The sequence below is a fragment of the Homo sapiens genome, chromosome 1 (assembly GCF_000001405.40).
Source record: "Homo sapiens chromosome 1, GRCh38.p14 Primary Assembly".
Taxonomy (NCBI): domain Eukaryota; kingdom Metazoa; phylum Chordata; class Mammalia; order Primates; family Hominidae; genus Homo; species Homo sapiens.
In genome coordinates this window covers 108591863-108615068 of record NC_000001.11, presented here as the reverse complement: position 1 = coordinate 108615068, position 23206 = coordinate 108591863, and the positions used below count along the sequence as shown (strand labels likewise).

Genomic DNA, 23206 nt, shown 5'->3' with positions numbered 1-23206 from the left:
TTCATTCCTATCTCCTCATCCCAGCACCTCCATGACTCTTTTTTCTCTTTAAATGCCAAATCTATCCTGCTGCACTGATTTCCTCATCATCTCTTCTTTCATAGAACCCTGAGGTCTGCTTTCCAACTCCATCAAAACTGCACTCTTGAATATCACGGATGTCTCAGAAAGGAGATGGAGATGGCACATACAGCTTTAAGGAACTGAATAGTTAAGTAGAACAGAGATGTGGGACAGTAGTTGAAGAAGATGAGAGGTTAATTTTTGTCTTTCTTTATAAATATGGGAAACAGTGGAGCTGTTTCTTTATATGTTGATGAGGATGATTCATTCGAGGTAGAGATGATGAGAAGAGGGGATAGTCTAAGGGGTAAAGCTCTTGATTAGGCAAACTTTGGATTCCAGAAGCCAAGAGGAAGGACTGACTTCTGACAGGAGAGGGGACATGCCATCCATTGTAACAGGAGACAAAAAGGATAAGGCGGGAGAGGCAGGTAAAGTCTATGATGGGAAGATGAGGGAATTTGAGTTTAATGGCTTCTGTTTTCTCAATAGGATAAGGCAAGGTCAGTATCTGAGAGCAAGAATAATGTGTTGGGATACGAGGAGAAAAAAGGTATGAGACAGAATATCTAAAATTGAGAAAGGAAGCATATGAAGGAAGTAGAGTATGACTGCCAGATGGCAGTGAGCATGGCTTTAGTAATGGCAGCTAGTCTGGTTGTGTGATTCTCTTCAGCAATGCTCAGCATGCAAGGGTAGATATTTAATAAGTGAGTTAACAAAAGTTGGGGATTATTCAGACAATGCAGGGAGACAGGGACAGAGGAGCCAGGAGTATTTTTTTTTTTTTTTTTTTTTTTAGAGATGGGGTTCTCACTATGTTGCCCAGACTGGTCTTGAACTCCTGCCCTTATGGACCCATGAAATTTAAGCTGGATAGACAGGGAAGTAGAAGCAAGTCAGGGCTGATGGATAGTGGGAGAGTGGTAAGGTTAAAGATAGCTAAGTGAGTAGGAGACTAAGAGGACTGGAAACATAAGAGACAGTGGTAGGAGGAAGAAAACTTTAAATTGAAATTTTTTGGGGGTGAAGTTTCTAGGAGTAAAAAGGTCTAGACTCTAGAGTGTGACCATGGGAGTAGGAACTGAGATGAGGAGGAGGAAAATATTGCTGGAGATAGGGAGTTTAAGGAACCGAGAAGCCTTAGACTCATAGAAGATCAGCTATCAGGAGAGAAAATATAGATAAGATAGTCCACAAGGCTAGCTCGTCTGCACAGATGGTGAAGCTATGGAAAAATGATGACCTGAGAAGAGATATAGAGAAAAACTGTGAGCCAGGAGCTAAGTCATCAATGGATAGGAGCGAGACGGTACCTAAGGGGTCAGGAGATGGCAGAGATTGGGAAAGGAGAGAGTGTTATGACTGAATGGCATGATCTTCAAAGAGTATTTTTTTTTGTAGGACAAAGTGGGAGAGACGGTGTGGAAGGATGAATGGGAAGCCAGAAGGAAATTACTCCATGAGTTGGCTCTTAGGAAAGTGGGGGTCTGAAATTAAAAAGTTATTTCAATTTCCAATGAAAACATTGTCATTCTGAGAAGAATTATCCATCTTTTCATATAAGAAATACGAGGAAATAAGAACCCTGACCAGGCAGGAGAAGACATGCACTGTGGTCCCAGCTCTGCCACTGACTACTTTTGTGAGATACTTTAGTTTCAGCTCTTCATCTATAAAATGTGAATAACAATCTATCCTCATCCGTCTAACCCTGTTCATCTCATGGAGATATGGGCAAGTGCTTTGAAAACTTTTTAGAGTTATAAAACCACAAAACTATGCAATCAACATGATGTGTACAGAAGTTTATATTGTGATACTTTTCTAATTTCTTCCTTGTCTTCTGAACATTTTCCTTCCCATATCAACTCGCTGTCCCACCTTTCTTTCCAGCTGCTAAATTTGTGTGAGGGTTACAAAAACCACTTTATGCATTGGACTGGCCATAATAACCATTTTACACATTTTCGTATGTTCAGAGCTTAAGATTTGCTGCAAAAAAGTTTGAAAACTGTAGAGTATCAGGTAATTCTTTGCTTCACTAACTTTTGAACACCAGTTTTTACTCAGAACTATTTTCCTTTCTTATTAGATAACTTACCATCATGGGGTAACCTAACTGAAACACTGCAAAAGGTCTATCTAATGGGGTTTCCTAGGCGCAAAGTACTTTACAAATATTTTCTCAATTAATCTCATTTAATACTACAATTAACTCTATGAAGTATACATTCGCACTCATTACTAGAGCACATAGCTCCTGATGGTACTTGGAAAAAGCCGGGCAGATGCCCAGAAGTGGGTTCCATCTGTCACTTCACTAGTTTACAAGAGAACACAGTGGCTTCTATGTACCTATCGCAGCTGCTCTGTAAATCACCTTATGGGAGCTACAAACATTTTAAGGTATTCATTAATTCATCATGCTCCTTCCTCCCAATGAGCTCTTATGTTATAGTGGTGTATGTATTCTCTGAATGCTCAAACGTCAAAGAAAAACACCTTTGGACCATGAAGGTGAACATTTGTTACTTTTCACTGCATTTGTGACTTAGATGGGGTTTTTCCCTAAGTGATGAATACTTCAGTGGTATGGTCAGTTTATCATATCAGCACTGATTCACATCTTGTCCTTGACAATATATACATACGCTTATTTAAAGGCAGATAATTTTATTCTTGACAAGTAAATCCTGAAACGTGCTTACTTTAAGAATGGAATTATCCTGTCTTGTATTTTTGGTATCATAGCCTTCCAGTAAACAGCGGCGAGTGGTATTTCCTGATCCAGCAAACTCTGCCAGGTTTAGATCTGCAAAGCCCAGCTATGAAAAGAAAGAGAATTATATTAATAGACTATCTAGTAGGCTTCTATCATATGCTCCTTAAAATAAATATTCAACCCATACCCTAGACAGGTTTTCTCCAACTTCATTTATTTGCAATTTTTGACTCTTAATACCTGTTCTATTATTTGCTTTGTGTTTTTAAATTGGTTCACCTTTTATATGAATTTATTTATTCTATTCTTGCGTTCAGCAACAGGATCTTTGAACTCAGATTTGATGTGGTAAATATATTTTTTCTATATACATTAAAGAATATATATTACTGTTAAAGTAAAAATAATGTGTATCAAACAGCTAAAATCATTGCAAATAGTGGTATTTACACCACCCTGTGGGAAATACTAGCAAACCAAGAGTGATAATTTGCATACACATAGAGAAGAATGATTAGACCCTTCTCTCCCTATTCTGGGTCCAGTTCTATGCCAAGTTAACCACTGGTGAAGGCAGATAGTTGCAGGTTATTAAGTTTTCACTTCCCATGCAAGAACTGGAGTGACTTAAGTGAATCACCTATTTTCTTTGGTACCAGTGCCTTCTCTTTCACTACCTTCCACATTTGCCTTGCTGATCATCCTTGAACTAAATCTCTCTTTATGAAACCTAATTCCTCCCTTTCTCAGAACTCTGCCCCACATCAACCCTCTCTGCTGCTGTCAGATGTTCAGCTCAAACCTGTTCCTTCTTGTTATTACTGCTCAGGTTCAGTCCCCATTTTCTGCAGCTGCCAAAGGTTGCCCTATAGTCTTTCCTCTGTTGTTGCTCAACCCTGTTTCTCATTTCCATGTGGTACAACAAATCAACCTCATTGTATCATTTTTTGAGCAAGCTAAGTCTATATACAGTCTTTTTATTAACAAAAAATGAATTGAGTTGCAACTTATTAAGCATATTTCCATAAATATACAATAAAAAGTATTATACATTTCAAAAACTGCTGTGATTCTAAGTTGTTTGCCTTAGGGTTTTAAAACACACAGTGGGCACATATAAATGGCATTCAAGATGAATATTTTAATTGCAGGCTGGAGCATTATTTTAATAGCTTTTAATTGGTACAAAAAGAATGTAAGAATAAGAACCCAGAGAGCAGCTGAAGGGCCACAAGCCCCAAATGCAATAAGTCAGACACACATCAGGCAGCAGTAATACCCACCTAATTTGCACATGGTTACTCTAGTCTTATTGCCTCTCTTTTTTTTTGAGATGGAGTCTCGCTCTGTCACCCAGGCTGGAGTGCAGTGGCACGATCTTGGCTCACTGCAAGCTCTGGCTCACTGCAAGCTCTGCCTCCCAGCTTCACGCCATTCTCCTGCCTCAGCCTCCCAAGTAGCTGGGACTACAGGCGCCCACCACCACGCCTGGCTAATTTTTGTTTTGTATTTTTAGTAGAGATGGGATTTCACCGTGTTGGCCAGGATGGTCTCGATCTCCTGACCTCGTGATCCGCCTGCCTTAGTCTCCCAAATTGCTGGGATTACAGGTGTGAGCCACCGCGCCCAGCTGTCTTATTGCCTCTCTTAGAGGGGCAAAAGATCAGCAGAAAAAGCTTGGATATGTCCAGGACAAAGCCATATCCAACTGGGCATGTGAATACTTACATGAATGATCACACATTATCAGTGCACCCTATTATGATTCATACATTATCCTTTTCGTTGACCCTCCAACATCGCTTTCTCATCCTCACTCTCTGCTGATGACCTTACTTCCTATTTCAATCGGAAAATTAAAGCAATCAAAAGAGCACTTAACTTCCATAAGCTTTTACTGCCAGTGACATCCACTCACCTACCTGCATCTGTGCCCACATGCTTGCTTTCCCACTTACAGCACTGTCTGAGGCCAACCACTCTCCTCTCACCCACTCAAGTTAATCACTTCAGTTATGCTTTCTGCTCTTGTGCATTCTAAAATTTCCCTTCTCTGCTGGATCGTTTCCAAAAGCACACAAACATGCTGGATTTTCTCCTACTTTAATGAACAAAAGAAAACAAAACAAAACCTCACCCTTTGTCTCTCTCCAGGCTATTGAACCATTTCTCTGGCCCTCTTTACAGCAAGATTTCCTGTAAGAGTTTTTTAAATTTTGATTTTATTTTAAGTTCTGGGGTACATGTGCAGGACGTGCAGGTTTGTCACATAGTTTGCTATGGTGATTTACTGCACCTATCAACCCATCGCCTAGGTATTAAGCCCAGCATGCAACAGCTATTTTTCCTGATGCTCTTGCTCCTCCCGCCCCCTCCCGACAGGCCCCAGTGTGTGCTGATCCCCTCCCTGTGTCCACGTGATCAACATTTGCTCAGCTTGCACTTATAAGTGAGAACATGCAGCGTTTGGTTTTCTGTTCCTGCATAAGTTTGCTGAGGATAATGGATTCCAGATCCATCCATGTCCCTGAAAAGGTCATGATCTCGTTCCTCTTGGAAGAGTTTTCTCTGCGGTCTCCTATTCCTCTGTGCCTGGCTACCTGGCCAACTTCATTTCCTCCTCCTCCGCATTTACTCTGGCAGCCACAATGTCCTCTTTCTTGAAAATGCCAAGATCACTTCAAGGCCTTTAGCACTTACTGTTCTTTTGCGGGAAATGCTGTCTCTCGGATTTTCTTATAACTTTCTCTTTTACTCCATTCAGGTCAATGTTTAAAAGTCATCTCTCTAAAGGGGCCTTCCCTGACCATCCTATATCACATCCCTCTTCCCTGCCTTACCTTGTAGTTACCGCCTTCCACCCCTTACCCCCTCTATTTTTCTCCTTAGTAGTTACTATCACATCATGTACACACATATTTCATATTTGCATATTGTCTGTTCCTCCAACGACCCCTGCTTCCATTAGCATGTAAGCTCCACAAATGCAGGGGATTTGTCTGTTTTGTTCACTGCTGTATCTCCAGTACTTAGAATAGTACCAAGAACAGTGCCTGGCACTTAATACATATTTGTTGAATAAAACAATAGCCCATTGGCTTACCATCTACTATTGTAATGTTGGTATATTACAATGTCAATAAGTTAAAAAGGGGGAGAATCTGATCAGTGCCTCTTATGCCTGCATGTTTATGTCCCCCCAAAATTCATATGTTGAAACCCTAACCCCCAAAAGGGTGGTATTAGGTGGCAGAGCCTATAAGAGGTAATTAGGTCATGAGAGTGGAGTCCTCAAGAATGGATTAATGCCCTTTTAAAAAGACAAAAGAGAGCTTGCTTCCTTTTTCTCTGCTCTCTGCCATTTGAGGACACCATGAGATGACAGACATCTGCAAAGCAGAAAGCAGGCCCTCACCAGACTGGATCCACCAGCACCTTGATCTTGGACTTCCCAGCCTCCAGAACTGCAGGAAATAAACGTTGTTTAAATCACCTAATCTATGGTAATCTGCTATAGCATCCCAAACTAACTAAGACAGCCCCTATTAAAAAGTATATTAAAAGGTGGGGCATGTCAATGTGATATTTCAGGCTAAAAGTTACTAATGAGTGAAGTCAATATTATCAAGCATCTTTTATATGACAGGCTCAGTTGCAGACACTGGGAAACAGTGATGAACAGGACACCTACTCCGCCTTGAAAGAGCTTACATTCTAGTGAAGAACCAGAAAGTCTATGTTTCCTTATGATTTTTTCTTTGGCTTCACTGAGTAACTGTCTCATGAAATGGCATATATACATAAACACTAGCTGTATTTGTCCCAGATATTAATTCATTCATGAAATAATCTTCAGCATCCACATTTCAGGTAATATGGAAGTCATTCCTACTCTTATAGTTTAATAGGGGAGGATAGAAAAGTGAACAGATTCTTTAATGCAGTGTGAAAGTGCTGTGATAGAGGAAGACACAGTTACAAGAAAGAGAGGAAAAGAAAAGTTCTCAGTGGGGAGGGATGACTAAGCTGAGTCTTTAACGATACATGAGTTGACAGGACAAGAGGAGGGAGAAATATAAGCATGGCAGGAAAAACATCAAGTTACAAATCAAAAGGCTAAGATAGCATGGGATACTCCAGGTTTGTGAGGGTGGTATGTGTGAGGCATAAGGATGAATGTATGAGTGTTTACTTGTGTGTTCATGTGCAGATGACAGTAGAGATGACAAGATGTGTCTTACATGCCAGACACACGTAAATTAAGAAATTTTCATTTTCCTTTATAAGCAATGAATAGCTGCTAAAGGACTAAAAATGGGGGAACGATATGATCATGTTTTAATTTTAGAAAGATTATTTTGGCAATAATATGGAGGATGGAGGGAGATAACAGAGACAGACTCTAGAAGGCCAGTGCAGGCTGTAAATAAAAAATAATGAAGGCATAACCTGAGGCAGTGGCCCTGGGAATGGAGAGAAAGTATGGTTTCAAGACCTTTTTAGAGGGGAAAAATCAAGAGGACTGGTCAACTACAGCAGACCTTGTTGTTTGCCTAGCCCAGAATCAATGCCCTGCTATTCCTTGATAGCAAAGCCTTGATTTATTTTATTTATTTATTTACTGAGACAGGGTCTCACCATCTTGTCCAGGATGGTCATGAATGCCTGGGCTCAAGTGATCCTCCCACCACAGCCTCCCAAAGTGCTGGGATTACAGGCATGAGCCACCACGCCCAGCCACAAAACCCTGGTTTTATTCAGGCGTCCAGCCTCAGTTCACCCATGTGTACAAGGAAGGAAACCCAAACCCTAGCTCATTGTTAGATTGTGATTAGTTTAAGCTAACCATGGCAATCCATTCCTATTGCCCACAACTAGTTTACGGTGGGCATATAATCTAGTTCCAGCCAATGAAAGGTATGGGAAAACCCTCCGAGGGCCATCTAGGAAACATTTCCTCACTCAAAAAAAAGTAATACAGGGAGAAGCAGCTGGATTTTTGTCATACGTGAATGTGTTGACTTAAAATTAAGCAGCCAGCCACCTGGTGTCCAGGAGGGGAGCTGGCCAAGAACAAAGTCATCACATAGAGAATGGCAGAATGGAAAGAGAAAAATAATGAGTTCTTGATGACGTTCTTCAGTCAGTGGATTGACCAGTTTTGAAGCAAGTCTATCTCACATCTCCTTGTTTTGTAACATAGGAAAAATCTCTAGTTGAGGAAGGTTTTCTATTACTTTAACAAAGAACATCCTGGCATTGCAACCAACTAGATTTAGGGTGTTTGGTAGATATGGAAGTTAAAACTAGTGTACAGGGGCTAGGCATGGTGGTTAACGCCTGTAATCTCAGCACTTTGGGAGGCCAAGGCAGGAGGATCACTTGAGGCCAGGAGTTCAAGACTAGCCTGGGTAACATAGCAAGACCCCATCTCTACAAAAATAAAAAACAAAATTTAAAAAATTAGGGGAAAAAAAAGACTAGTGTACAATCTCTCAGTTCAGGTGACTGGATTGATGGAGGTACCATTCACAGAGACTGGAAATACAAAAGGACTATGTGAATTTCTGGTAATGTTGTTACTAATTCCTTCTAGTCAGCAAAAAGGTGAGCACATTCTCTAGTAATTCCACATAGCTAGTAAAAGTAAAAACCAGCAGTACTGATCATGTATACACAGAGTGCTAAGACAGCATAAAGGACAGGTCCTCTTACAGTTGGGGGAGGTGGGCCTGGCAACACTTCCCAGGTGAGATCCTTTGAATTATCACATGCTATGGCTTAATGCAAACTAGAGATCATCCTCTAGCAGGGAGGCTGAATCTAAAGAATAATATTCCATAATCAGCATTTAGAAAGAATATGCCTATAATTTACTGTTAGATCCAACTGTTCAATCTCCAAGTTGCATACAAAAAGAGCCAAGCTTGAACAGATATTAGAAGAGTAAACAATTTAATTTTTAAGCCTATAAATAGCAATAAGCAACATTACATGTTCCAAAACAGTTAAAAGAACATCTGCTTACCTTTGCATAAGCTTTTCCACCTTTTAATTCCTGCCAAAGACAGAAAATACTATAAGGATATCACATAATGAAAGATTTAAAATTAAATATATGTCAAATAATTCTGAAGCAGACATATATATGCTGGCAAATATCATAGACAGTAAAATTCTGACGATCTTAAATCCAACTATTTAGACTCCCACAAGCCCCCCAAATGACCAGAATTTTTATTTAGCATTTAACTTTAATCTAAATGAGACAAATGGTGAGAATATAAGCTAATATTTTATCTATTTGCTGAAGAAGAAATGGTCAAAAAGTGTTGTGGACTCACTGCAAAAACCTGAATCACCAAAGAAAGGTTAAATTATTTACTCAGTTAAGCATACTAATATAATATAGAAAGATTTCAACAGGACTTGAAACCACACCCCAGGGACAACCAGTTTTTATGAATCATTGAAGAGATACTCTGTGCATGTAAAAGTATACATTTAGTATAGTACAAACCCTCTTACCTAATGTGAAAAGGCTGGCCAAAGTGGAAAATAATAAAAAATAATAGATGATGTCTTTTTTTAACTTAAAATATGTCACTGTACATAAATTTGCCAAATCTTTAGATTTGTTTTCACACAGCTGTGAGAATTAAGTGTAAAACACTCAGAACAATACCTAGCACATGGTATGTGTTTGTATATATGTCTTTGTCATTATTATTAGGGCCAAACTCCCCACTCCCTACCTACTTTTAAAAATGCATCTGCTGGATGGTGTTGTCTCTTATCTTTCTTGCATAAATCAGATACATAATGCATTATCTATCATTTCCATCTTTCAAGCAGTGAATACAAATATGTTAAGGAACAATCTATGATAAACTCTATTATCATTCATGAATATTTGCTGTTCCTCCCCTTCCCTGCTTCAGTGATTTCAGGTGTGGCCATCCCACTACATCTACCCCATTATGAGTGATCACATTTTCATTAGGTCACTGTTATATTCCTTAATAGTGCCCTTCCATAAGAAAACAAAATTTTCTCCAGATGATCCTTGTTTCTGCTAGCTAATTCTTTTCTTTGCTCCCCTCTATAGCCAAACTCATCAAAATATTTATCTATATTTGCTATATCCTACTCTCTCTTCAACCCACTCCAATTGGGGTTTCATCCTTATTTTCCCTCTGCAATAGTTCTTTTTCATTTTTTATTTATTTTATTTCTTAGAGACAGGGTCTCTCTCTATCAACCAGGCCGGAGTGCAGTGGGATGACCACAGCTCACTGAAACCTCAAACTCCTGGGCTCAGGAGATCCTCCCACTCAGCCTTCTGAGTAGCTAAGACTACAGGTGCGTGCCACCACACCCAGCTAATTTTTTTTTTCTCTTTTTTTTTTTTTTTTGGAGAGGTGGGGTCTTGCCATGTTGCCTAGTTTTGTCTCAAACTTCCGGCCTTAAGCAGTCCTCATTCCTCGGCCTCCCAAATTGCTGGGATTACAGGTGTGAACCACTGTACTCGGCCCTTTATAATAGCTCTTCAGATTACCAATGATCTTCATTTTGTTAAAGCCAAAGGCTCCCGATCTTCATCTTATTCAACATCTCAGTAGTAGGTGACACACTTGGCCACTCCACCTCCTTTGTTGCATCATTTTCTTCGCTAAACTTCCATGGCACCACAATTGCCTGGTTTTATTCCTACTTCACTGGCAACTCCTCACTCTCGTTTGCTGGATCTATTCCTTCATTCAATCTCTGTAGAAAGAATGCTAGTCATATCCCAATCATCCATATCCCCCACTCCATAGTAACAGAATCCTCTATTTTTAGTTGGATAACTGGCTGCACAATAATGACCACTTATATGTTTTAACTCTATTCAAAACATAAGCACTTCTCCCTTCAACTAACACAAACCACCTAAGTGGTCTCTGTGATTCATCTAACACAGCAGCAAAAGTGATCTTACAGAAGATGATGTCTCTCCTTATTAAAATCCTCCAATACTTACAATTATAATTAGATCTAAACTCTTCATAAGGCCCGGCCTGATCTACTGCGTCCAATCCCACTACCAAGAACTTTGCCTCTCTGTTTCCCACGCCACAGCCAGGCTGGTCTTGTCATTTAAACATGCCAGACTTGCTGTTTACACTGCATAGGGTTCACAGTACTTCTGAATCTGTGGTTCGATATCTTTGATTGGTTTTAGAAGATTCTCAGCCACACTCACTTGTCTCTCCTCCTAGGGCTTATACAATTAGACCTTTCTACTGTCTCCTACATGTCTTACCTTCTTTCTTGTGTATTCCACCCTTGTTCTCTCTGTGATTTAGCCTGAATATTTTCTTCTATTTTCCAATTTACCAATGCTCTCTTCAGTTATGGTAAACCTGCTGTTAAATCCATCTGTTGAAGTTTTATTCATTTACTTAGCTTTAAATTTTAGTTAATGTACTTTTCAGTTTTAGAATTTAATTTGCTGCTTTTTTAAAAAACAATTTTAGTTCTCTGATGAAATTCTCCATCTTGTTCACTAATTATAGTTATTGTAAAAGTTTGTCTTTGATCTTTCCAAAATCTGTATCTTCCATGGGTCTCTTCTTATCATATTTTTCCTTTTGATTTTTGGTCATGTAGTCATGTCTCTTCGTATGCTTGATAACTGGGTATGAAAACTTGAAGAAATAATTTGAGGTTCAGAGTGATGTGATATAGGAGAAGGCATACATTTGCTTTTGGCAAGTAGTAAGGAAGAGGCAGATCACCTTCATCCAAGAAGGGATTGAGCGGACTGGAGGCTGGGTTTGTCTTTGTAAGGCTGATCTGTGTGTATTACACTCTTCCTACTAGGTTGAAACTCTCAGAGAGTGAGTCCCAACTGAAAGCCTGAGGTGTTTATCAAGGCCCCTCCTCTTTGGTTGTCCCCAGATTTCAGTTTTTGTTCCTTTAGACCTGTTAAGATTGCTGCAATCTCAACTCAGTGTCTTCGCTGCTCAGCCATTCTTTTGTGCTCAGTTTCTTTGCCACTACTTGCAAATCAGCAAATGCTTTGAGGGTAAAAGCAATGCCAAATGTCAGGCTTATCTCTATGCTTCCCTCCTCTATGGATTCTAAGCCTCTCAAGTCCTTACTACCTCACTAGCTTCCAATGCCTTCAAGCGGCTGTTTTGGATATTATGTCTAGCTTTTCTAATAGTTCTCAGAGGGAGCAGTGGTCTGCAACAAGCTAGTCCATTAATATCAGAAGTATTAAAATAATCTCCATGTTTATTATACTTTAGGGCCTGTTATGGGTTGAATTATGTCCCCCGTCTCCCTCATCCAAAAAAAGACATGAAGTCCTTACCTCAGAATGTTACCTTATTTGGAAGTAAGGTCTTCTTTTTTTTTTTGAGACAGGGTATGGCTCTGTCATCCAGGCTGGAGTACAGTGGCATGATCATGGCTCACTGCAGCCTTCTGGGCTCAGGTGGTCCTCTAACATCTGCCTCACAAGTAGCAGGGACTACAAGTGAGTGCCACCATACCTGGCTAATTTTTGTATTTTTTATGGAGATGGGGTTTCTCCATGTGACCCAGGCTGGTCTTAAAATCCTGGGCTCAAGCAATCTGCCTGCCTCAGCCTCCCAAACTTCTAGGATTACAGGTGTGAGCCACCACACCTGGCCAGAAATAGGGTCTTCATATAGGTACACAAGTTAAAATGAGGTCCTAATCTGATATGACTGGTATTCTTATAAAAACAGGAAATTTTGACAGAGAAACAGACATGCAAAGAGGGAAAATTATGTGAAGACACAAAGGGAGAAAACAATCACGTGAATGGAATAATGTATCCACAAGTCAAGGAATGCCTGAGGCTGCTGGACATTAGGCGAGAGGTGTGAGAGTTTCTCCCCCAGCACTTCCAGAGGGAGCATGGCCCTGCTGACACCTTGACTTTGAACTTCTGTCATCCATAACTCAGACAGTAAGTTTCTGTTGTTTAAAGCCACCCAGAGTGTGCTATTTATTTATAGCAGTCCTAGGAAACTAGTACAGGGGCTTTTTTGCTTTCAGGTCCTACTCTTTTAGAATGGCCTTTCCCTAGACCTTTACATGGTTGCCCCTTCTTCAAATGTTACCTTTCAGAGAAGTCTTCACTGACTCCTGCCTCAGTTCTCTAAAATAATCTCCTTTGCCCAAGCTATTCTCCATTACTGAATTGTTTCCTACACATAAAACTTATCATGACCTCAAATAATCTTATTTGGCTACATGTTTACTATGGTCTCTGTCTTCCCTATCACACCTCCCCCAACTCCATCCAGAAAGTAAAGTCCCTGGGGGCAGGAACTCATTCCAGTTCACCACTGTCCTCCCAGTGCCTGGAATAGTACTGCTGGCTGGTCACTGATTGCTTCCCTGTGTCCTAGGCAACAGAGCACACTATCAAACTTTTTCATTTTTGTCAACTTTATAGGTAAAAAATGGTATCTTATTTGTAGTTTTGTGTCAGATTGAGCACATTTTTATGTTTAAAAGCTATTTATAGTTTTTTTGCCAAGTGTTTATTCTGCCCCTTGCCTATTTTTCTAAATGGTTGTTTATTTTTAAAATTAATTTATTTGAAAGTGCTCTTTCTATACTAAGGAAAGTAGTCCTTTGTCACAATTTGTGACTATTTTCCCCTAATTTAAGACTTTATGTTATATTTTGTAATGCATAAAATGTTTATATAGTTGAGTTTACTAATTTTTCTTTTATGGCTTCTTTTATATAATACTTAAAATATTATTTAGTATATTATATTAAGTATTTTATGTAATACTTAAAATACCATGGCAATGGTATTCTGACTGACAAGGACGCAGAACTGGCGTGGAAAAGAGCAAGGCCAGAGACTCTTGCTTTCATTCTAAATCCTTCTTCTCTATTTAATTTTTGACCATTATATGTATTATTTTGGTAAGTAAAACACATGCATACACACACACACGCACAAACACATACACACACACACAAACAGAAAGTTGAACCATATGAAATTACCATTTTTTTTTTAGATTATTGGTAATTTGCTTCAACCTAATACTGGGAAAGAAAATATACAGGAAAGAAAACAGACTTGGAGTCAGAAAACTCTGTTTGAGTCCCGACTTTGCCATTTATTAACTATGTAAATTTGGGCAAGTAACTTCTCTGAGCCCTGGTTTTCCTGAAAATGGAGAAAATAACACCTAATTTCAGGGTTATTAGATATATTACACATAAAGTTCCCAGAACAATGCCTAATAAAAACTAGGAATTTAACAAATAGTGGATATAGATATATACAGTCCCCAAACTAACACAAGTAAGATTAATACTTATACGTATAGTGACAGTGAGATGAAGGTTCTTGAATAATAATTTTAATTTATAACCTCAGATTCTTCATCATATTTGCCATGGTATTTTAATTACTGCAGCGAGCATGAAGTGAAACTGCATATACAGTTCTAATGAAACAGATAAAGCAGAGATAAACAAAGCCAGCCAGTGACTACGGAACTAATTATGGTTTCTGAAAGGGAAGAAGTAATAGGCTATTTTTATACCTTCCTCACGGATACTCTGTAGATACAAGGATCTAGGATGCCTGTGGCAGCACTTGCACTCATTTTGCACATAAATGAGAACTTCTTTCTCCAGCGAACACAGTTTGCTTGTACCACCTCCCTGAAGGAAAGAAAAAAAGAGCCAATTAATTAACTATTATTGATGACATGTTAAAAAGCACACCCATACTTTCACTCAAGTCTAACATGCAAAAGTAATGTGTTAAAAGCCAGTATTTGTAAACAGTGTAGCAGGAAGGAAGCAAATTCCTAACAATGTGATCTGAAAATCTTTGGAAGGTTTTAATTATCCACTGGAAACTGGAAAAAAAGTGAATTTACTTATCAATTCAATCAAAATATACATTAGGCTACACCATTCATTCATTCAACACATAATGTACATTTACTTTATATGCTGCGCATGTGGTACATGTTTAAAACATAAAGACGAGGACAGAGTTCCTGACCTTGTAGGGATTATATTCATAGTTAATGCAAGAGGCATAAATATGAACAAATGCTTATTCTAGGAATAAGCAAATTCTTATTTTAAGATGAACTACTGTCATAGTTTTACTCCAGCCATAACAGCAAGAACAGCTACCATTTATTGAGAGCTTACCATATGCTATGAAATCTCCCAACAACCTTGTGAAGTAGCTGGCATTTTCTTCACTTTACTTATTTTGAGACGGAGTCTTCCTCTGTCACCCAGGCTGGAGTGCAGTGGTGTGATCTCCGCTCACTGCAACCTCCGCCTCCTGGATTCAAGCAATTCTCCTGCCTCACTCAGCCTCTTGAGTAGCTGGGATTACAGGCACCTGCCACCACGCCAGGCTAATTTTTTTGTGTTTTTAAGAGACAGGGTTTGGCTATGTTGTCCAGGCTGGTCTTGAACTCCTGACCTCAGGTAATCCACCTGCCTCGGCCTCCCAAAGTGCTGAGATCATAGGCGTGAGCCTCGTCACTTTAAAGATAAGGAAAATGAAGTGTGATGAGAGAAGTGAACTCAAGGTCATTTAAGTAGGAGGTGGTAGAGAAGAACTGGCATTCAAACTAGGCCTGTTTAAATCTAAAGCCCACTTGTCCACAAAGGAGAATCTGTATTTTTCCACAACTTTGCTCTTTCAAGCTCCCAGGCCTTTGTACATACTGTTCTCTCTGCTGTCGTATGTAGGTATTGGGGTGGGGGGGTGCTCAGCCTTAGAAAAAGATAACCATTCCTCTAACATAGGAAAGAGACAAAGATAACAGATGAAATAAAGAGAAAACTAGAGAAAGCAAAAGAGAACGGCAAGAGAGCCCAGGTTGAACAGTTTTGATTTTCTTAGGGGAGTAATAAGTCATATCTACGGAGTGATAGGACTGGTAGGTGAGTTGAAAATTTAGATAAAGGCTTAGAGACAGGAAAACTGCTGTGGTGAATGTGACAGGCAGTCAAACTTATAGCTGCCTCAGGGAATAAAATAGATTTTTATTACGATCTATCAGTTGTTTTTTTTTTGTTGTTGTTGTTTTTGAGACAGGCTCTCACTCTGTCACCCAGGCTGGAGTGCAGTGGTGCAGTCACAACTCACTGCAGCCTTGACCTCTCAGGCCAAAGAGATCTTCCCACCTCAGCCTCCCAAGTAGCTAGGACCATAGGCATACACTACCACACTCAACCAAGTTTTGTATTTTTGGTAAAGATGGGTCTCTCTATGTTATCCAGGCTGGTCTGAAACTCCTGGGCTCAAGTGATACTCCTGTCTCAGTCTCCCAAAGTGTCAGGATTACGATACTCTTGTCTCAGCCTCCCAAAGTGCTAGGATTACAGGTGTAAGCCACCTGGCCTGGTTTTTCTGATTTCTCCATCAGTACACAGAAATCCAAGAACAGGAATTATAAAAAAAAAGCAAACATAATTTAAAAATCAAGTATGTATTTGTGTGTCATATGTGCACTTTTGTTTACTTTTATGTTCTAAACAGACACACAAATGGGAGAGGAGGGCATGCATTCTACCACCAGTTCTACTATGATAACTTTGGCCATTTTTTTTCCTTAGGAACCCTTAAGTGATTTAATGAATCATGATATGAAGAATGTATGTGTGGGTTCACAGTGGAGTCTCCCTTGAAATCCAGGCAGGGTGTAATTTATTGGTATGGTCACAATGCAGGCGAGATAAGTGTTATTTGACAAAGGATGGACCTGGAGGTACTTGTCAGGCAGCTGGAGGACTCCCTGGTAAGGAGGGCAGTTGCTAACCTGTACACTCAAAAATAAATACATTTAAAAAACTGTGAATAGTAATAAAAATAAGCAAGAAAAAAAAAATCCAGATTTTTTTTTTTTTTTTTTTTTTTTGGATACAGGGTCTTGCTCTGTCGCCCAGGCTGGAGTGCACTGGTGCAATCTTGGCTCACTGCAACCTCCGCCTCCTGGGCTCAAGCAATTCCCATGCCTCAGCCTACTGAACAGTAGCTGGGATTACAGGTGTGCACCACCATGCCTGGCTAATTTTTGTATTTTTGTAGAGACGGGGTTTCACCATGTTGGCCAGGCTGGTCTCAAACTCCTGGCCTCAAGCAATCTGGCCACCTCGATCTCCCAAACTGTTGCTATTACACATGTGAGCCACGGTGTCCGGCCTAGAATTTTTTATTATTGCTTCTCTCCCAACATCTCTTGGCCTCAAGGCTTGCTGGAGGCATCAGCTATGGTGTCCGGAGCTCCCAACAAGGAGATATAAACACTGATGTCCTGGACCCTTCAGGGTCCACTGAGCATCAAGGCGCTTGGTTGTTGCTGTCACTGAGACCACTGATATATGATCAGATATCAAGAAATAACATTTACAATAAAACTCTTTTACTTTTCTTACAAAATTATATACAAATTTATAGTTAAACATGGCAGGTTGAGTGCATGTATTAGCCTCTGCTCCCTCCCCAAACCTACTAAATAAAAACAAGCAAAGGCATTATCTCACAGGGACAAAGAGAACTAGAGACAAAAATAAGTGGCCAGAGACAGACAGACAAGTGATAACTAGTTTAGCATACTGAGGAAATTTGAACCTCATGCTGGCAATAGTAAAAGCCAAGAGAAGGAAACTTAAACAGGTTTTGAAGTCGAATGAAGGAGGGACACAGCAGAGGATTGATCAAAAACTGTTTTGGAAATAGTCAGACTGCAGACCTCTCCTTCCCTGACTCCTGCAGATGACTGAGATGTATTCTCCTGATAAGATGAAACAGAAGGATCTCTGGACAGCCTGAAGTGAGGGCAGGTATCAGAAAGAGCACAAAGAGCACAAAAGCATGCTGGCTGGGGTAATGAAAGATGACTTAATGCTGAGACTTCCAACCTTCTTCCCCTAACCTGGCTTCTCACAATGCCAGAACCAGGCACCTGTTCTTCAAAATGTGGGAAGAATATTCTCTGGGGAATCCAACCAGCCTCAAAGAAAAGATTTCATGAGACAGATGTTGAGGGTTCCCAATGACACAGCCAGCCAAATCAGCCTACAATAAAAATCTGAGATGACAAGCACCTGCCACATACACAGAGCTCCTAATCAACTTTTAGTGCTTCATAGTTAAATATGGGCAGATAAGTGAGGAAAGTCTCTTAATATGAAAGAAACCAAGATGAATAGAAAAAAACTAACTTGGCTGGTTGCAGGGGCTCATGCCTGTATTCCCAGCACTTTGAGAGGCTGGTGGAAGGGTCCCTTGAGCCAGGAGTTTGAGACCAGCCTGGGCAACAAAGGAGACCCTGTTTCAACAAAAAATTTACAACTTATGGTGGCGTGCACCTGTAGTCCCAGCTACTCAAAAGGTTGAGGCAGGAGAATCACTTGAGTCCAACAGTTCAAGGCTGTAGTGAGCCATGAGTGTGCCACTGCACTCCAGTCTGGGTGACAGAGCAAGATACAGTCTTAAAAAAAAAAACAAAAAAACAGAAAAATAGCAACTTGAACAAAACAGAGCCTGTGCTTGAAGAATAAAAAAATTTCTGAGTGATATAAAAAAGAAACTGCATCTACCATACAGGAATAGGATGCTATATTTTTAAAAAAAGCATACAGGGAATTAAAGTGCTCATGGAAATCCAAACTAGTGGGCTTGATATTTTATCATTCCAGATTCACTCTACCCTTCTCTGTGGTCCAGGACGCCAGTCTTATGAATTACATCAACCAAGCTCCCTTGCCCTCTACCTCCGATTGTGCTAAAGTGACAAACATTGCAAGGATAGAGGGCAGGAAGGGAGGGAAGCTGATGCATTTATTCTCCTGGCTCCTTCCCTGTTGGGCCATGTGAGAAACAGGTCGGTTGTTGGGGACTGTGCTTTTCCATAATATGCCTTGTGGAACTTAGACTCTAAATTATTAGTATTTATGACTTTGTTAAAATAAAAACAAATTCAAAAACATTGTCAAGTACTGAATAATCTAAAAATGGGAACAGAAGTATATAACTTTAGATGCCTTTTTTTCCTAATTGCTAAAAAAAAAAAACCCACTAAGAATTTTCTTTATTGTCTAACATGAAAATTGGATGGTATCTTAAAAAGCAAAGTCCTAATCCCTGCCTCCCTTACTTCCTGTTCACTATCTCTATTTTACACTGTAATTCCAATTACCTGTCTGTATTTATAATGCTGTGCTGAAGTTTCTTAATCTCTTGTTTTTTCCCCAAGCCCATCAAACTTAATGTTGGCTTCCTCCACTCTCTAACTAAACTAGATTAATATTTCTGCAAATACGTCTTTCCTGCTTGTCTGGTTTGTTTCTTAAAAGAAACATTCACATACAGAGTTCACTTGATTTCTTTGGTTTTTATTACTCAGGCCAAAGCTGCCCTCCATTTGTGCAAATGATAACATATACGATTAGGCATGTAAAAGCTACTACATTTCCCTCCCTTCCTCTCTCCCTCCAGCATGTAAAAGCTATTACATCTCCCTCTCTCCCTCCCTTCCTTCCCTTGGCATGTAAAAGCTACTACATTTCCCTCCCTCCCTCCTTCCAGCATGTAAAAGCTATTACATCTTCCTCCCTCCCTCCCTTCCTTCCCTTGGCATGTAAAAGCTACTACATCTCCCTCCCACCCTCCCTTTCCTCCCTCTCTCCCTCTCTCCCTCCGTAAAAGCTACATTTTTTTCCTCCCTCCCTCCCTTTCTCCATACAATTAGGCATGTAAAACTTGCTACATTTCCCCCCTCCCTTCCTTCCATCCTTCCTCCTTCCCTCCCTCCCTCCTTTCCTCCTCTCTCCCTCTGTAAAAGCTCGCTCCTTCCTTCCTTCCCTCCCTCCTTCCCTCTCTCCCTCTGTAAAAGCCACTACATTTTCCTTCCTTCCTTCCTTCATTCTTTCCCTCCCTCCCTCCCTTCTTCCTTCTCTTTATTCTTTCCCTCCCTCTCTCCATCCCTCCTTCCCTTAATTCCTTTCTTTTGAGATGGGGTCTTGCTTTGCTGCCCAGGCTGAAGTACAGCAGCATGACTGTCACATTTCATTTGTTTGTGAAATAAGTGGAATTCCTTGGCAATACTAATATATAAATACTTTAAATGCCCTTATAATGTAGTAGCTTTTACATGCCTAATCGTATATGTTATTATTTGCACAAATGGAGGGCAGCTTTCGCCTGAGTAATAAAAACCAAAGAAATCAAGTGAACTCTGTATGTGAATTTTTTTTTAAGAAACAAACCAGACAAGCAGGAAAGAAATATTAGCAGAAATATTAATCTAGTTTAGTTAGAGAGTGGAGGAAGCCAACATTAAGTTTGATGGGCTTGGGGAAAAAAACAAGAGATTAAGAAACTTCAGCACAGCATTATAAATATGGACAGGTAATTGGAATTACAGTGTAAAATAGAGATAGAGAACTGGTTTTCATACAGGACATGTCTTTTAATCTTACGGGAAAAAATACACTTCCCACAATTCCATGTCCTCACCTACTTACTATCACTCTGCCTTCAGGTCCAAGCTCCCTGAAGATGATGATACTAAGGATAATGATGACAGCACTTATTGAGTGATTATTATTACAGGCATTGTTATAAATACACATATTAAAAATTACACATATTAACTACTAAATCCTCAAAGCAACTATATGGGGAGGGTACTACTAACTCCATTTTATAGATAAAGGAACTAAGATACACAGAAATTATGTGACTTGTCAAAGGTCACTCAGCAGGAAAGGTTGGAACTGAAATTTGAAGAACTGTCTCTACAGTATAGACATTTTCCATCTCCTCACCTCCCAGTTACTTTTCAGTCCCTCTTAATCAGGCTTCTACCCCGCACAATTCCACTGAAACTGCTCATGAGTAAGTAACTAATTGTCAAATCCAAGGGTAATTTTTTAGTATCATACTTGACCCTTCTTATACATTCTTACAATATTCTTGTCCTTGGTATTTATGTGACTATTTCTTTGCAGTTTCTTGCTCCTGTCTCCTTAAAATGTTGATGTCCACCAAGCTTCTGTCCTTGGCGGCTTTCTCATTTTTTTTACTCTGATGGACTTAACTATTATGCATGTACTGAGAACTTAAAAATCTAAGTCCTCAGGCTGGGCACGGTGGCTCAATGCTTGTAATCCCAGCACTTTCGGAGACCAAGGCAAGCGGATTGCTTGAGCTCAGGAGTTCGGGACCAGCCTGGGCAACATGGTGAAACCTCATCTCTACAAAAAAAATATAAAAATTAGTTGAGCATGGTGGTGTACGCCTGTGGTCCCAGCTTCTCGGGCAGCTGAGGTGGGAGGATTGCTTGAGCCCAGGAGGTTGAGGCTGTAGTGAGCTGAGATTGCGCCACTGCACACTAGCCTGGGCAACAGAGCGAGGCTTTATCTCAAAAAACAAACAAAACAAAACAAAACAAACAAACAAAACTAAGTCTTCTTCTTTAGTCCTCAGATTCATATATCAACATGTTAACTGGTGAACCCACCTAGTAGTCCTAGCCTCTAGATAAGGCTTTAGGTCTCTGACATCTGTTTATCATGGTACTTCCTAGCAGGCTAGTAAGTAACCTACCAGCTTGACTAGTCAAATGGTTTGCCCAGGAGCGTATGTGGCAAAAACTGTCAGTTACTTATCCAATATGCAGTCTCTCTTCTTCCTTAAAAGGAGAACCCTGATTTTACTCAAACTGGCAATATGTCCAGTTAAAAGACTGCATTTTCCTGACCTCCCTTGCAGCTTACAGGGTAGGCATGGGATGGAGTATAAGCTAATGAGATATAAATGGAGGTTATTGGGTATAACTTTTGGAAAGGCAGAGTAAGAGAGGGACAGTTGAAACATACCCTTTTACCTTTTATTCTTTCCTCTGCCTGGAAAACTGTCATGATGATGATTAGATTCTCATCAGTCATTTTGGACCTCGAGGTTACCCTCAGGAAAAGCCATGTGATGATGGTGCAGAGCCAGAAGGAAGGTGGGTCTCTAAGAAACATGTAGCCCTGGACTTTCTCCCTCCAAACTCCTTTTATTTATGTATTTATTTTTTATTTTTTTGGAGACAGAGTCTCACTCTGTCATGCAGGCTGAGTGCAGTGGTGTGATCTCAGCTCACTGCAAACTCCACCTCTCAGGTTCAAGCAATTTTTCTGTCTCAGCCTCCCGAGTAGCTAGGACTACAGGTGTGTGCCACCATGCCTAGCTAATTTTTGTATTTTTTGTAGAGATGGGGTTTCACCAAGTTGGCCAGGCTCATCTCAAACTCCTAAACTCAAGTGACCCGCCCACCCTGGCCTCTCAAAGTGCTGAGATTACAGGCGAGAGCCACCATGCCTGGCCAAGTCACCACACCCAGCCCAAACTTCTTAAATCTTATTATTTAAAATGCTTATTTTGGATTTTGTTATATGCAGCTGAACTAAATCCTAACTGACATAGACTAAGTCTTACCATTTCCAAATCTGCAAAGTTCAAATGTTATTCACATTGTTGTAGGTGGTCCATCCCAGAGTCCTGTTCCCCTCATTTAAGTATACAGACGAAATACACTGGAACCTATTGTACATATTTTTCATGACCCGTAGAGTCCCACCCAATGAAGACACAAATAAGCTCTGATTCACTTCCTGGGCAATAAGCCCCTATCCGAACACATAGATACTGCCTCCCAAGTAGTAGACTGACAAATGTGCTAGGACTCTGAAACAGGTTCTTATGTGAGTAAGAAAGTCAAATAAGCCAAGACAAGAGATCAGGTTGGGATGAACTAGAGCCATGCGAAGTGCAGTTGTCTATTAATTACCTCATGATGTGCAAACAAAGAATCCTTAATGGAGAAGAAATCCAGAAATGATGAAGGTGGGAAAGAGTACAGCATAACACTAATCATTTGCCAAACACAGGAAACAATAAAGATTTGTTGACCAAATGAATAACTGAAGTCAGGCATGGGCCACAAATGACTGGTTCCAGCTACCAATTCTTGCCTGTGTTACTTCCTATTTGTAAATCAAGCCCTTTCCTGTGTCTAGCACCACCACAATTCAGACTCTCAATATCTCTTCCCTGAAGCATGGCAACAGCCTCCTTAATGGTCCCCGCTCAGATCTATCTTCCTCATTGCTACCAGAGAACTCTTTTTAAAATACAAACTTGATAATGTCATTTCTGTTTAAAATCCTTCACTGCTTCCTCTTATAGGATTAGGTTCAACCTCCTTAATGGGGCCTCTTTATGATTAAGCCCCTGTCTGTCTTTAGTCTTATCTCTTGACCCTTTCTTTCTGTCTTATATTGTTTGTCATTCCCATTTACTTCACACTATTTCTCATTTGCATGCCTTTGTTCATGATT

The 23206-nt window shown here is 40.1% G+C and overlaps 1 protein-coding gene across 1 annotated transcript in view; it reads right to left on the bottom strand.

Moving 5' to 3' along the window:
• Nucleotides 1–23206, bottom strand: part of EEIG2 (EEIG family member 2) — a 79223-nt gene that overhangs the window by 24254 nt on the left and 31763 nt on the right. The window contains exons 2-4 of the mRNA NM_001010883.3: nucleotides 14383–14503; nucleotides 8817–8846; nucleotides 2775–2891 (exon numbers count right to left, since the gene is read on the bottom strand). Coding sequence (NP_001010883.2) covers nucleotides 2775–2891; nucleotides 8817–8846; nucleotides 14383–14503 — 268 coding nt within the window. The remainder of the gene's footprint in view (nucleotides 1–2774; nucleotides 2892–8816; nucleotides 8847–14382; nucleotides 14504–23206) is intronic.